The sequence below is a fragment of the Homo sapiens genome, chromosome 1 (genome assembly GCF_000001405.40).
Source record: "Homo sapiens chromosome 1, GRCh38.p14 Primary Assembly".
NCBI classification, from domain to species: domain Eukaryota; kingdom Metazoa; phylum Chordata; class Mammalia; order Primates; family Hominidae; genus Homo; species Homo sapiens.
Window position 1 is genome coordinate 1,928,191 of NC_000001.11, and position 13,097 is coordinate 1,941,287.

At 54.0% G+C, this 13,097-nt stretch overlaps 1 protein-coding gene across 1 annotated transcript in view, besides 1 other annotated feature; it reads right to left on the reverse strand.

The window, feature by feature from the left end:
• Window positions 1–13,097, reverse strand: part of CFAP74 (cilia and flagella associated protein 74) — an 81,830-nt gene that overhangs the window by 6,234 nt on the left and 62,499 nt on the right. Inside the window, exons 23-27 of the mRNA NM_001304360.2 lie at window positions 12,126–12,213; window positions 11,404–11,577; window positions 10,665–10,798; window positions 1,870–2,146; window positions 594–692 (exon numbers count right to left, since the gene is read on the reverse strand). Of these exons, the coding sequence (NP_001291289.1) occupies window positions 594–692; window positions 1,870–2,146; window positions 10,665–10,798; window positions 11,404–11,577; window positions 12,126–12,213 (772 nt within the window). The remainder of the gene's footprint in view (window positions 1–593; window positions 693–1,869; window positions 2,147–10,664; window positions 10,799–11,403; window positions 11,578–12,125; window positions 12,214–13,097) is intronic.
• Window positions 11,463–11,699: a silencer, noted in NCBI's record as "fragment chr1:1871092-1871328 (GRCh37/hg19 assembly coordinates)". NCBI's record gives its function as "represses an EF-1alpha promoter that drives an FKBP-Casp9 reporter gene in an ReSE screen in HepG2 liver carcinoma cells {active_cell/tissue: HepG2}" and the evidence as "EXISTENCE:reporter gene assay evidence [ECO:0000049][PMID:32094911]".

Genomic DNA, 13,097 nt, shown 5'->3' on the forward strand with positions numbered 1-13,097 from the left:
GGAAGCCAGGCCGGGAAGGGCAAACCCTTGGGAGGAAGCCAGGCCGGGAAGGGCAAACCCTTGGGAGGAAGCCAGGCCGGGAAGGGCAAACCCTTGGGAGGAAGCCAGGCCGGGAAGGGCAAACCCTTGGGAGGAAGCCAGGCCGGGAAGGGCAAACCCGTGGGAGGAAGCCAGGCTGGGAAGGGTGCATCTGGAGTGTGGCAGGAGCCTCGAGGCCACCTCCAGGGCCGGCACTTGTGGGGCAGATTCTGCAGGACACTCCGTGTTTCAGGTGCGCCTCCCGGGGCCTCCAGGTTGTTGGAGGGGCCCTTCATTGCATCCGCTGCACCCCTGGGTCACAGCCCCTACTGCCCCCACCTCCAGAGCCCACCCTTCCCTGCTCCCGCCTGGCAGTGCCTTCCAGAGAGAAGGGAGGGTCTTGGTGAGCAAGCTTTTTAACCTCAGATACAGCTCGACACGTGCATTGCTTGGGAAAGGTCTACCCTGTGCTCCCGGCACGTGGCCGGAGCCCCCCAGGACTCGAAGGCGGTGGAGTTTGTTCCTGCAACAGGCCCTTCCCCGACCTACGCCCCTCCTTCCCGGGCCCCACGCACAGATTTGGTCTCCATTTCTTTGTTCAGGAGTGGGAGGGCTTCCTGGCGGATCAGCTTCTCGGGCAGCACTGGCCGGAAGGCCACCTGGACCAGGCACCTCTGAGGAGAGACCAGCGTGGGCACAGGGGTTGCCACTTCCCTCCACCTCCCCGGAGCCCCTGCGGGCACTCTACCGTCCTCTGCCCGTGGACTCCCCTCAAGGTCACCTCCCCCTTGAGATTTCAGGCTGCGTGCCCCTTCAGGAAGCCCCTCCCTGACCTCTGTCCCCCAGGAGGCTGGGCGGGCTGCAGGCGGGAGCACCAAACCCTCTGGCCATGCAGGGGGCAGTCCTGTGATTGGAGGTGCTGAGAATAGAGTCCTGGACAGGCCGGGACTGGGTCCCCTGTCCTCGGGGCAGCAGTGACAGCTGAGCCTGCCCTTGCCTTGAGTTTGACGGGCGAGTCCCACACCCTAACCTGGTCCCTGCACACACCAGCCTTTCCAAGGAGCCTCCATCTTGGAAATGGCTTCCCACAGAAGGGTCCCTCCATGACAGAGCCCACAGGCAGTGTGCAGTATGGGGTTGGGGGTGACATGGTGCGGGAGGGGGAGAGGGTGGGGGGAGGGTAGGGGAGGGAGGGAGTGAGGGTAGGGAGGGAGCGAGGGGAGAGGGTAGGGGAGGGAGAGGAGAGCTGCATCTGCAGTAATGTGTGTGGGGGTGAGAACCATCACCGAGTGGCTTTCGCTAAGTTGAATGAAATCCATTTTGAATCACTGCATTCATTGAAATCCCATGTGAGCCAACTGTCCCTTACATGCCCTTCCTCACTTAGGCCTTCGGCAGCCCTCAGGGTCACCCGAAGGCCCTGCCAGGCCCAGAGCTTTCTGCTCTGCAGGAAAGGTAGAGTGCTGGGTGGGAGTGGCCGACACCTTGTCCTCCCAGTCGGCCTGCGAGGTCCACAGGTGCAAGGGACTACACAGCCTTCCCCAGTCTCAACCTGGGAGCCCTGGATGGGTTCCGGCCAGGCCAGCAGCCTGGGGAGCTCCTGCCTCTCGGGGTCAGGCTGGACCAAGGGCACTGTGACCCCCCCCGATGGGGGTGGCCTTGGGCCCCCATGCACATTGGCCATGGATCCTTCCTCGGCCCTGCTCGGGTCTGAGGGTCAGGTTCACTCCCGCCCCTGTTCTCCGGGTTGAAACCCTGTGGTTAAGGGTGGGCAGAGCCAGACACCCCAGGGGTAAATGCAGGTGGCGTGGAGCTCCTGCTTCCCAGCCTGCATGTGGGGCCCACACCCACCTTTCCTGGCCACACGGTCCCCACTGAGGGCGAGATGGTGATAGGCGAGTCTGGGGGCAGCAGGAACTCGAAAGACGTGGGCCCCATGGGAGAGGCGTCCTCTGAGCCAATGCGGGGCTTGGAGTGGGTCGGTGAGCTCATGCTCAGGTGAGAGTTGATGACGTACACTGTAGCCACGGAGGTGTCGTATAGGGCCGTGGCGGCAAACTTGATCTGGTAGTGGGACAGCTCCAGGGGTGGGTGGACGCCTACAGCCCGGCAAGACAGCTTGAAGCACCTGCAAGCAGCAGCATGGGAGGCCCTCAGCCGTGCAGGGCGTCCGTGTCCCTCTGCGGCAGGCGCGGGGGCCACTGGGTGGAGGACAAGCCCCGGGGGGGGCTCACAGGGACATGCACGTTCCTGCTGCCCAGGGGGTCACTGCGCCGCTGACAAGTTTCGAAAATACAGCGTATCCTTGTGCACATTTGAGGTGGGTGGCTAAAAATTTTAAACCGTATTTATTCATTTATAAATAGAGATGGAGTCTCGCTCTGTTGCCCTAGGCTGGAGTGCAGTGGCACTACGACAGCTCACTGTAGCCTCGAACTCCTGGTTCAAGAGGTCCTCCTGCCTCAGCCTCCCGAGTAGCTGGGACTACAGATGAGTGCCACTGTGTCCTGGGTAGCTAAAAATTTAATCACAAGTTTAGATAGTTGCAAAGGAAGTTGCAAAGGAAATTTCTAGCTTATTTTGTTAAATATTTATTGACGTTTTAAAAACGGATCTTTTTCTCTAAATGGAAGCACAGGTGTCTACGAGGCCTATTATGAGCAAGTTGATTCCTGCCACCATCTATTAAAAAGAGGCCGGGACCTGGTTATTTTAACCATTGGAAACTTCACATTTCATATTTTCCTCAAATGCCTATTTCCACTGTATTTTCCCCATTGATTTTTGTCCTAATTGTATATATTTTATGCTGTAAAGGACAATACTCCTATCACATTTGTCGGTAACAGAAAGTGTTCATTCATATGTTGTAATATTCAAATGCGTATTTTTATGTCCTGTGACCACAGGCTCTAAATGCTTTAAAAAATTCTTTAAAAAGGCTGGCATGGTGGCTCACACCTGTAATCCCAGCACTTTGGGAGGCCGAGGAGGGCGGATCACGAGGTCAGGAGATCGAGACCATCCCGGCTAACACGGTGAAACCCCGTCTCTACTAAAAATACAAAAAAATTAGCCAGGCATGGTGGTGGGCACCTGTAGTCCCAGCTACTTTGGAGGCTGAGGCAGGAGAATGGCGTGAATCCTGGAGACGGAGCTTGCAGTGAGCTGAGATCGCACCACTGCACTCTAGCCTGGGTGACAGAGCAAGACCCCATCTCAATAAAAAAAAAAAAAAAAAAAAAAGTTCGGGCACAGTGGCTCACGCCTGTAATCCCAACACTTTAGGAGTCCGAGGCGGGCGGATCACAAGGTCAGGAGATCGAGACCATCCTGGCTAACACGGCGAAACCCCGTCGCTACTAAAAATACAAAAAAATTAGCTGGGTGTGCTGGCGGGCGCCTGTAGTCCCAGCTATTTGGGAGGCTGAGGCAGAAGAATGGCGTGAACCCAGGAGGCGGAGCTTGCAGCGAGCCGAGATTGTGCCACTGCACTCCAGCCTGGGTGACAGAGCAAAGACTCTGTCTCTGTCTCAAAAAAAAAAAAAAAAAAAAAAATTCTTAAAAAAATTGGCTGGGCGCGGTGACTCACGCCTATAATCCCAGCACTTTGGGAGACCGAGGCGGGTGGATTACCTGAGGTCAGGAGTTCAAGACCAGCCTGGCCAACACGGTGAAACCCAATCTCTACTGAAAAAAATGCAAAAGTTAGCTGGGCGTGGTGGCCGGTGCCTGTAATCCCAGCTACTCGGGAGGCTGAGGCAGGAGAATTGCTTGAACCTAGGAGGTAGAGGTTGCGGTGAGCTGAGATCGCCCCACTGCACTCCAGTCTGGGTGACAGAGTGAGACTCTCGCCTCAAAAAAAAAAAAACAAAAAACAAAAAACAAAAAACTTAGAAAAATGTAGGCCGGGCGCGGTGGCTCACGCCTGTAATCCCAGCACTTTGGGAGGCTGAGGCGGGCAGATCACGAGGTCAGGAGATCGAGACCATCCTGGCTAACATGGTGAAACCCCGTCTCTACTAAAAATACACAAAAATTAGCCAGGCGTGGTGGTGGGCACCTGTAGTCCCAGCTATTTGGGAGGCTGAGGCAGGAGAATGGCGTGAACCCAGGAGGCGGAGCTTGCAGTGAGCCGAGATCGCGCCACCGCACTCCAGCCTGGGTGATAGAGCGAGACTCTGTCTCAAAAAAAAAAAAAAAGAAAAGAAAAATGTAGTGATGGGGTGTTGCCCAGGCTGGTCTCAAATTCCTGGACTCAAGTGATCCTCCTGTTTCAGCTTCCCAAAGTGCTGGGATTACAGCCGTGGCGCCCAGCACTCACTAAAATTATTTTTGAGTGGAGATATTATTGATTATTATTAGTAGTCAATTTTTTTCTTTCTTTTTTTCTTTTTTTTTTTGAGACAGAATCTCGCTCTGTTGCCCAGGCTGGAGAGCAGTGGCATGATCTCGGCTCACTGCAACCTCCGCCTCCCGGGTTCAATGATTCTCCTGCCTCAGTCTCCCAAGTAGCTGGGACTACAGGCACCCACCACCACACCTGGCTAATTTTTTGTATTTTTAGTAGCGATGGTGTTTCACTGTGTTAGCCAGGATGGTCTCGATCTCCTGACCTCGTGATCTGCCCGCCTCGGCCTCCTCAAGTGTTGGGATTACAGGTGTGAGACACTGTGCCCGACCTTTTTTTTTTTTGAGATGGGGTCTTGCTCTGTCACCCAGGCTGGAGTGCAGTGGTGCGATCTCGGCTCACTGCAAGCTCCATCTCCAGGGTTCACGCCATTCTCCTGCCTCAGCCTCCCGAGTAGCTGGGACTATAGGCGCCCGCCACCATGCCCGGCTAATTTTTTTGTATTTTTAGTAGAGACGGGGTTTCAACGTGTTAGGCAGGATGGTCTTGATCTCCTGACCTCGTGATCTGCGCACCTCGGCCTCCCAAAGTGCTGGGATTACATGCGGGAGCCACCGTGCCTGACCTTTTTTTTTTTTTTTTTGAAATGGAGTCTCGCTCTGTCGCCCAGGCTTAGTGCAGTGGTGCAATCTCGGCTCACTGCAAGCTCTGCCTCCTGGGTTCAAGCGACTCTCCTGCTTCAGGAGAGTAGCTGGGATTACAGGTGTGCAGCACCTTACCTGGCTAATTTTTGCATTTTTAGTAGAGACAGGGTTTCACCATGTTGGCCAGGCTGGTCTCAAACTCCTGACCTCAGGTGATCCGCCCGCCTCGGCCTCCCAAAGTGCTGGGATTACAGGCGTGAGCCACCGCACCCGGCCCAACTATTCAGGTATTTCTATATTTTTCCTGTGTCCATTGTGTATTTTGAGGAATTTGTCCATTTCCTCAAAATTGTCAGGTTCCCTGGTGTAAAGATGTTCATCATGTTCTCTTCTTATCGCTTTGATATTTGTTAGGGTCTGTGGTGATGTTCCCTTTCGCTCCTGATATTGATGGTTTGTGTTTTCTCTTTTTATCCTCATTGGTCTTGCTGGGGGTAATGAATTTTATTAAATTGTACAAGAAAGACTTTTAGTTTGTTGTTTTTCTCTGTTGAATATTGCATTTCTATTTCGTTGACTTCCACTTTTACCTTTTTTATGTCTTTCTTCTACTCTCTTTGGGTTTAATTTACTGTGTTCTTTTCCTAATTCTTGAAAAGGAAGCTTAGATGGTTGATTTTCACACCCTCTTTTCTAATATCTGCGTTTAGAACTAGAAGCTTCCCACGAGGTGCTGCTCTGACAGCCCGCAGGCCTCAAACCTGATGGGTCCAACATGGAGCCTTTGGTGGTGCCCATGAGGATCAGTCACAAAAATACCCAGGCTGAGGGGAGACAAGCAAAATCCAGACCAGCAGCAGGGGTCTGAGGCCACCGGCATGAGGTCCCGGTCTGCATGGGGCTCTCCAAGTTTCAGCACTCAAAGTCCTGCGGCCTGAGAAGCCCCTCAGTACTGGGTACAGCAGCATGGTGGTCACCCTACATCTGTGCAAGTGTAGAAGTGTGTGTATGTGTGAGTGTTAGGGTATAGGTACACACGTGTGTACGTGTGTTAGGCTGTAGGTACACAGGTGTATACGTGGGTGTTAGGTTGTAGGTACACAGGTGTACACGTGGGTGTTAGGTTGTAGGTACACAGGTGTATACGTGGGTGTTAGGTTGTAGGTACACACATGTGTACGTGTGTGTTAGGTTGTAGGTACACACGTGTGTACATGTGTGTTGTAGGTACACATGTGTGTATTAGGTTGTAGGTACACAGGTGTGTATGTGTGTTAGGTTGTAGGTACACAGGTGTATACGTGGGTGTTAGGTTGTAGGTACACAGGTGTATACGTGGGTGTTAGGTTGTAGGTACACACGTGTGTACGTGGGTGTTAGGTTATAGGTACACGTGTGTATGTGTGTGTGTTAGGTTGTAGGTACACACGTGTGTACGTGGGTGTTAGGCTGTAGGTACACACGTGTGTACGTGGGTGTTAGGCTGTAGGTACACAGGTGTGTACGTGGGTGTTAGGCTGTAGGTACACACGTGTGTACGTGGGTGTTAGGTTGTAGGTACACACGTGTGTACGTGGGTGTTAGGTTGTAGGTACACACGTGTGTATGTGGGTGTTACGTTGTAGGTACGTGTGTACGTGGGTGTTAGGTTGTAGGTACACACGTGTGTGCGTGGGTGTTAGGTTGTAGGTACACACGTGTGTACGTGGGTGTTAGGTTGTAGGTACACAGGTGTGTACGTGGGTGTTAGGTTGTAGGTACACGTGTGTACGTGGGTGTTAGGTTGTAGGTACACACGTGTGTATGTGTGTTGCTGTGGGTACACACGTGTGTACGTGGGTGTTAGGCTGTGGGTACACACGTGTGTACGTGGGTGTTAGGTTGTGGGTACACAGGTGTGTACGTGGGTGTTAGGTTGTAGGTACACACGTGTGTACGTGGGTGTTAGGTTGTAGGTACACACGTGTGTACGTGGGTGTTAGGTTGTGGGTACACACGTGTACGTGGGTGTTGTAGGTACACACGTGTGTACGTGGGTGTTAGGCTGTAAGTACACACGTGTGTATGTGGGTGTTAGGTTGTAGGTACACAGGTGTATACGTGGGTGTTAGGTTGTAGGTACACAGGTGTGTACGTGGGTGTTAGGTTGTAGGTACACACGTGTGTATGTGGGTGTTAGGTTATAGGTACACACGTCTGTATGTGTGGGTGTTAGGTTGTAGGTACACACGTGTGTACGTGGGTGTTAGGTTGTAGGTACACAGGTGTGTGCGCGCTAGGTTGTAGGTACACATGTGTGCACGTGGGTTAGGTTGTAGGTACACACGTGTGTACCTGTTAGGTTGTAGGTATACACGTGTGTACGTGTGTGTGTTAGGTTATAGGTACACAGGTATGTAATGAAAGTGTGACCCCTGGCATTCCTGACAGTGACGGGCTCTGGGGAGGGAGGGAGAACAAAGCCAGCTCCGACTTGAGGGAGAATGTTTGTTTCTGTAACAACAAAGAGAAATCAGAGGCAAGTAGGATAAAAGTCTAAGATCTGTATTTTGGGTGGAGGGTACATGATGTTGGCTGAGTTTGTGGGTTATCTGAAAATGGAAGGGAAGAAGAGAGCAGAGGACGCAGAGCTAAGAAAGTTGGGACCTTTTTTTTTTCAGCACTACACACACACACACACACACGAACTGCAGGGGGCTCTGGAGCCATGGAGTTAGAAAAGCTCTCTGAGAGGTCAGGTGTAGTGGCTCATGCCTGTAATCCCAGCACTTTGGGAGGCTGAGGCGGGCAGATCACCTGAGGTCAGGAGTTTGAAACCAGCCTGACCAACGTGGAGAAACCCTGTCACTACTAAAAATACAAAATTATCTGGGCGTGGTGGCGTATGCCTGTAATCCCAGCTACTCAGGAGGCTGAGGCAGGAGAATCGCTTGAACCTGGGAGGCAGAGGTTGTGGTGAGCCGAGATTGCGCCATTGCACTCCAGCCTGGGCAACAAGAGCGATGCTCCGTCTCAAAAAAAAAAAAAAGAAAAAAAGAAAAGAAAAGCTCTCTGATCTGCGGCCGGGTGCGGTGGCTCACATCTGTAATCCCAGCACTTTGGGAGGCTGAGGCGGGTGGACCACAAGGTCAAGAGATCGAGACCATCCTGTCTAACATGGTGAAACCCTGTCTCTACTAAAAATACAAAAATTAGCTGGGCGTGGTGGTGCACACCTATAGTCCCAGCTACTCGGGAGGCTGAGGCAGGAGAATTGCTTGAACCCGGGAAGCGAAGGTTGCAGTGAGCCGAGATCATGCCACTGCACTCCAGCCTGGCGAGAGAGCGAGAGTCCATCTCAAGAAAAATAACAAAAAAAGAAAAAAAAGAAAAAAGAAAAGCTCTCTGAACTGGGCTCCCTTCTGAGAGTGAGGAGGAGAGCCGCGCACAGTGGCTCACGCCTGTCATCCCAGCACGTTGGGAGGCTGAAGCGGGAGGATCGCTTGAGGCTATGAATTCAAGACCAGCTTGGGCAACATAGTGAGACCCCATCTCTACAAAAAATATAAAAGTTAGCCAGGCATGGTGGCGTGTTCCTGTAGTCCTAGCCACACTCAGGAGGCTGAGGTGGGAGGATTGCTTGAACCCGGGAGGTGGAGGCTGCAGTGAGCCGTGATTGCACCCCTTGCATTCAAGCCTGGGTGACAGAGCAAGACCCTGTCTCAAAAAAAAAAAAAAAATTAAAATGTAAAAGTTCAGAAACAAATAATTGCACTTGAAAATGAGCAGTAGAAAATGGTCGAATCACAGGTGACATTGTTATGAGACGAGAGAGAATGAGGAGTGGAATTTGTGTAAACGGCGAAGCAAACTGGGAAGCGTGTTAGGAAGGAATCAAAGGCAGCAGCCTAAGGACTCCACGTGTGCCTCAGAGAGTTCAGAAAGTGATACAGGGTTGGAAACTGCAACATGGCCGTGATTACGGATGGAACGTGCAAAGCACTGGGCACCAAAGGCGGCTGAGGGAGAGGCGACGGGGCGTTAGCGCCCTGGGGAAGGAGCCAGCGTGGCTTTTGAAGTGGTCTGGCTGTCTGACTAGCCCAGAGGTGCTGCTGCCCATGAACCCACAACACAGAACAGAGGAACATGTGAACTGACACCACGGGACAGCATCGCACCTGTGGCAATTCCACAGGACAAACGCACCTGGCGTCTTCAATAAATACATTTCAAGGACCACAGAGATGGAGGGAGGCCCCAGTGGCCCAGGTCAGTAGGACCCAAATGTGGGCGATTGTTTGATGAAGGCACAGAGGAATTCAGGGCAGAATGGAATCTTCTCAACAACGAGGCTGGAATAATTGGAAGCCTCTGCAAAAAAATGAACCTCAACTCGGCTCACATCGGAAACAAAAGCGACCAAAACGGACCACAGACCCGGCTGTGACTGCCCCCCAGTGTCTTGGCCTCTGCCCCAGAACACATCCCTGGAGACTGACGGTCCCAGCAGCAACAAGAACCCACGCAGGACCACCAGCCACCGCCTGGGGTCCAGTTTCATCTCTCCCTCTCCACCACTTCCTTATCCCGCCCTCAGGCTCAGGGAGGTGCAGAGACTGGCTGGTCGCACAAGACCTCAGAGCACGCAGGGATTTACAACACCAGGTCCACCTCTGGACACAGGTCCACCCACCTGTGTCCAGAGGGGTGCCCTGCACAGCATGCGTGTATACACACATGCACACACACAGTCTCACATAAACGCACTCATACACATGTACACACATGCACTCACGCATGGTCGCACACTCAAGCACTCACACATACAAGCACTCACATTCAGTCACATGCTCACACATACATGCACTCACACTCAACCTTACACACCCAACACACACGCACTCACACTCAACCTTACACACCCACATACATGCACTCACATTCAGTCACATGCTCACACATACATGCACTCACACTCAACCTTACACACCCACATACAAGCACTCACATTCAGTCACATGCTCACACATACATGCACTCACAGTCACATGCTCACACATACAAGCACTCACACTCAACCTTACACACCCACATACATGCACTCACACTCAACCTTACACACCCACATACATGCACTCACACACAAGGCACTCACACACACACGCTCACTCACATGCAAGCTCACACACCCACCTACGTGTACTCACATAGGCACTCACCCCCATACACTCACATACCTGCACTCACACTCCTGCAGGCTCACACACACACTCCCACAGGCTCACACACACACAGGCTCACACTGACAAACGCACTCACACACCCCCATATGCACTCACACCTGCTCCTACAGTGATACGTCTGCGCACACACGTTCACACACACACACAGGCACACTCGCCTGTCCTCACACACATGCTCATATACATACACACCCACGACACACACAAACACACACGTCTGAGTGGGCCCAGAACTCAAGGCTGCCTGGGTCCCAGGCCTCTCTGCACCCAGGTTTGAGGTTCCTGCTGGCCGGCAGTGCTGCCCAGCCCAGCCCTGTGGTCAGCCAGGCAGATGGGGTCAGGGGCGGGGATGTGGTGGAGCTGGGAAGGGGGGCCCCTCCTGAGCGGGCACTCCAGGCCCCCTGCGTCCCCTCTCCCTGGCAGGCTCACCGGTTGATCTCAGACTTGCAGGTCAGTTGGAATCTGTGTTCCTCGGCCTTGGTGGGCTGGAAGATCACACAGAACTGCAGCGTTTCCAGGGGCAGGATCGTCCCAAACCCATCGTTGGGTTGGACGTCCACAAACTGGAAATAGAAGAGTGCTCTGAGGGCATGTCACGGGGAGACCATGTGGACACACGTGCGGCAGGGCCGTGAGTGTGAGAGTAAGAGATGAGTGTGATCGTGTGTGAGCGAATGTGAGGGTGAGAGTGTCGCTGTCAACGAGTGTGTGTCAGCAAGTGTGTGAGTGTGAGCACATGTGTATGAGTGCATGAGCAATTGTGAGCATGTGCATGTGTGTGCACGCATATGTGTGTGTGTGCTGGGGGGAGAGAGAGGGAGGATGGCGGTGTTGGCGGCGGGGCAGCCCAGGGAAAGGTGAGGGGTGCCCAGGCTTGGGCCTCGTCCCAGCTACCTTGTGTGGCCCCAGCAGGGGAAAGTTTCAGAAGAAAGAGCGGGGAGAGGGATCTGGAGCGCAGGAGGTGCACAGGACCGAGGCAGAAGTTGGGCTGCACGCCCAGGGCTGGTGTGCAGGGTGGGGAGGCCCAGGTGTGGAGGGGTGCAGCTGAGAGGCGGAAGTTGGGCCACATGCCCACGCGTGGGGGACCCTGGAGCAGTGGCCGCTGCATCCTGTCCCCAGGACTTCCCAGCCTCACCCCTCTTACCCCAGGCCTGGCTGCAGGAGGTACCTTGGGAAGCCTGACGAACCCGAACTCCTGGGGCAGGAGCGAGTGGTTGTGGAGGCTGATTTCCGTCCTGATGGCCTCATAGATGGTGCAGTAGCCAAAATCCACCTCCGAGGGACTGAGCTCCAGGTCCGAGGTGGTGACAATGGCATGCACGGTGAATCCCACTGGCTTGTTCTGAGACATAAAGGGCACAGGCGCCCTCGCAGCCACTCGGAGACTTACCAAGTGCTCCCCAAACTCTGAGGCGCAACCACTGCTGCTGCCTTGTGGCCATGGCCCACTGTTTCCAGGACACGACGAGGCCGTCTCTTCATAAAACCCACTTCCCTGTGACTGCTCCCTGACATGGCGGGAGGAGCTGCGGGTGGGTGGCAGCTGAGAGCCTGCTGCAGGTGGAGTGGGGTGCATGTGTCTCTGTGTGCGGCACACATGGGCGCATAGACGTGTGCAGCTGAGTGTGTGGGGCACCCCTCATGTGTGCACATGCAGGTGCAGGTGCCTGGGACACAGCCCTGCTGGCCTGGATGGGCCTCGGAGGCCTCTCTCTGGCCCATGAGCACCCTCCCAGCAGGCAAGCCCCTCTGGCCGCTAGACGCCTCCTGGAAGGCAAGTGAGGATGAGCCCTTTTGGGGGCCCTCGCCCGGGTGCTGGGCCTGGCCTCCCAGGAAAGCCCCTGCTACCCAGGAGCGCCCAGCATCCCTGGGAAGTGCCCCAACACAGACCTGGTCGGCAACCCATATGGTCATCGGGGCCTCCAGGACTCGGGTCTCCTTGTCAAAATACCTCCCTGCGTCCTCCGGGAGGGAGTGTCTGAAAGAGGCAGACAAGGCGAATGTGCTTTCCTCTTTCCATTTTGTGAAATGACAATAAGACCCACTGTCACTGGTGCTTCTACATCCCGTGAGAGCTACGGCGTCTCTGGAACATCAGCGCTGGGAGACGCATCGCGCCGCCCTCCTGCTCTCGCACAGAACCCACGAGCACGTGGCCCCTGTGGCCCCGTGAGGGCTCTGGCGTGTCTAAGTAGCCAGTCACTCCCGGGAGCAACACAAGTGACTGTGGCTCAAAAGCTGTGTTTAAATAAACAGGAATAAATTCAATAGCCATGTTTCAAATTAATATGGAGTTTGCATCGTAAAGGAATCCTAAAAAGCCCTTTAAAAATGCATTTTCACTTTAATCAGAGCTTGATCTCTGATTACATAAGTTAACGTTGTTAAAGAACTATCAGGAAAAGGGCCGGGCACGGTGGCTCACGCCTGTAATCCCAGCACTTTGGGAGGCTGAGGCGCGCGGATCACGAGGTCAGGAGATGGAGACCATCCTGCCTAACACGGTGAAACCCCATCTCTACTAAAAAATACAAAAAATTAGCCGGGCGTGGTGGCGGGCGCCTGTAGTCCCAGCTACTCGGGAGGCTGAGGCAGGAGAATGGCGTGAACCCGGGAGGCAGAGCTTGCAGTGAGCCGAGATAGTGCCACTGCACTCCAGCCTGGGCGACAGAGCGAGACTCTGTCTCAAAAAAGAAAGAAAGAAAGAAAGAAATATCAGGAGAAGTAAAATAAGAAAGAAAAACATCAGCCTCCCTGTGACAGGCGGCCGGCGGGGGCAAGTCCAGGAAGCAGCCGATTTTAAGCTCAGCTCCGCCCTGTTCCCCTCCTAGTCCCACCAGGCCCGTGCCTGCTGCGCCCACC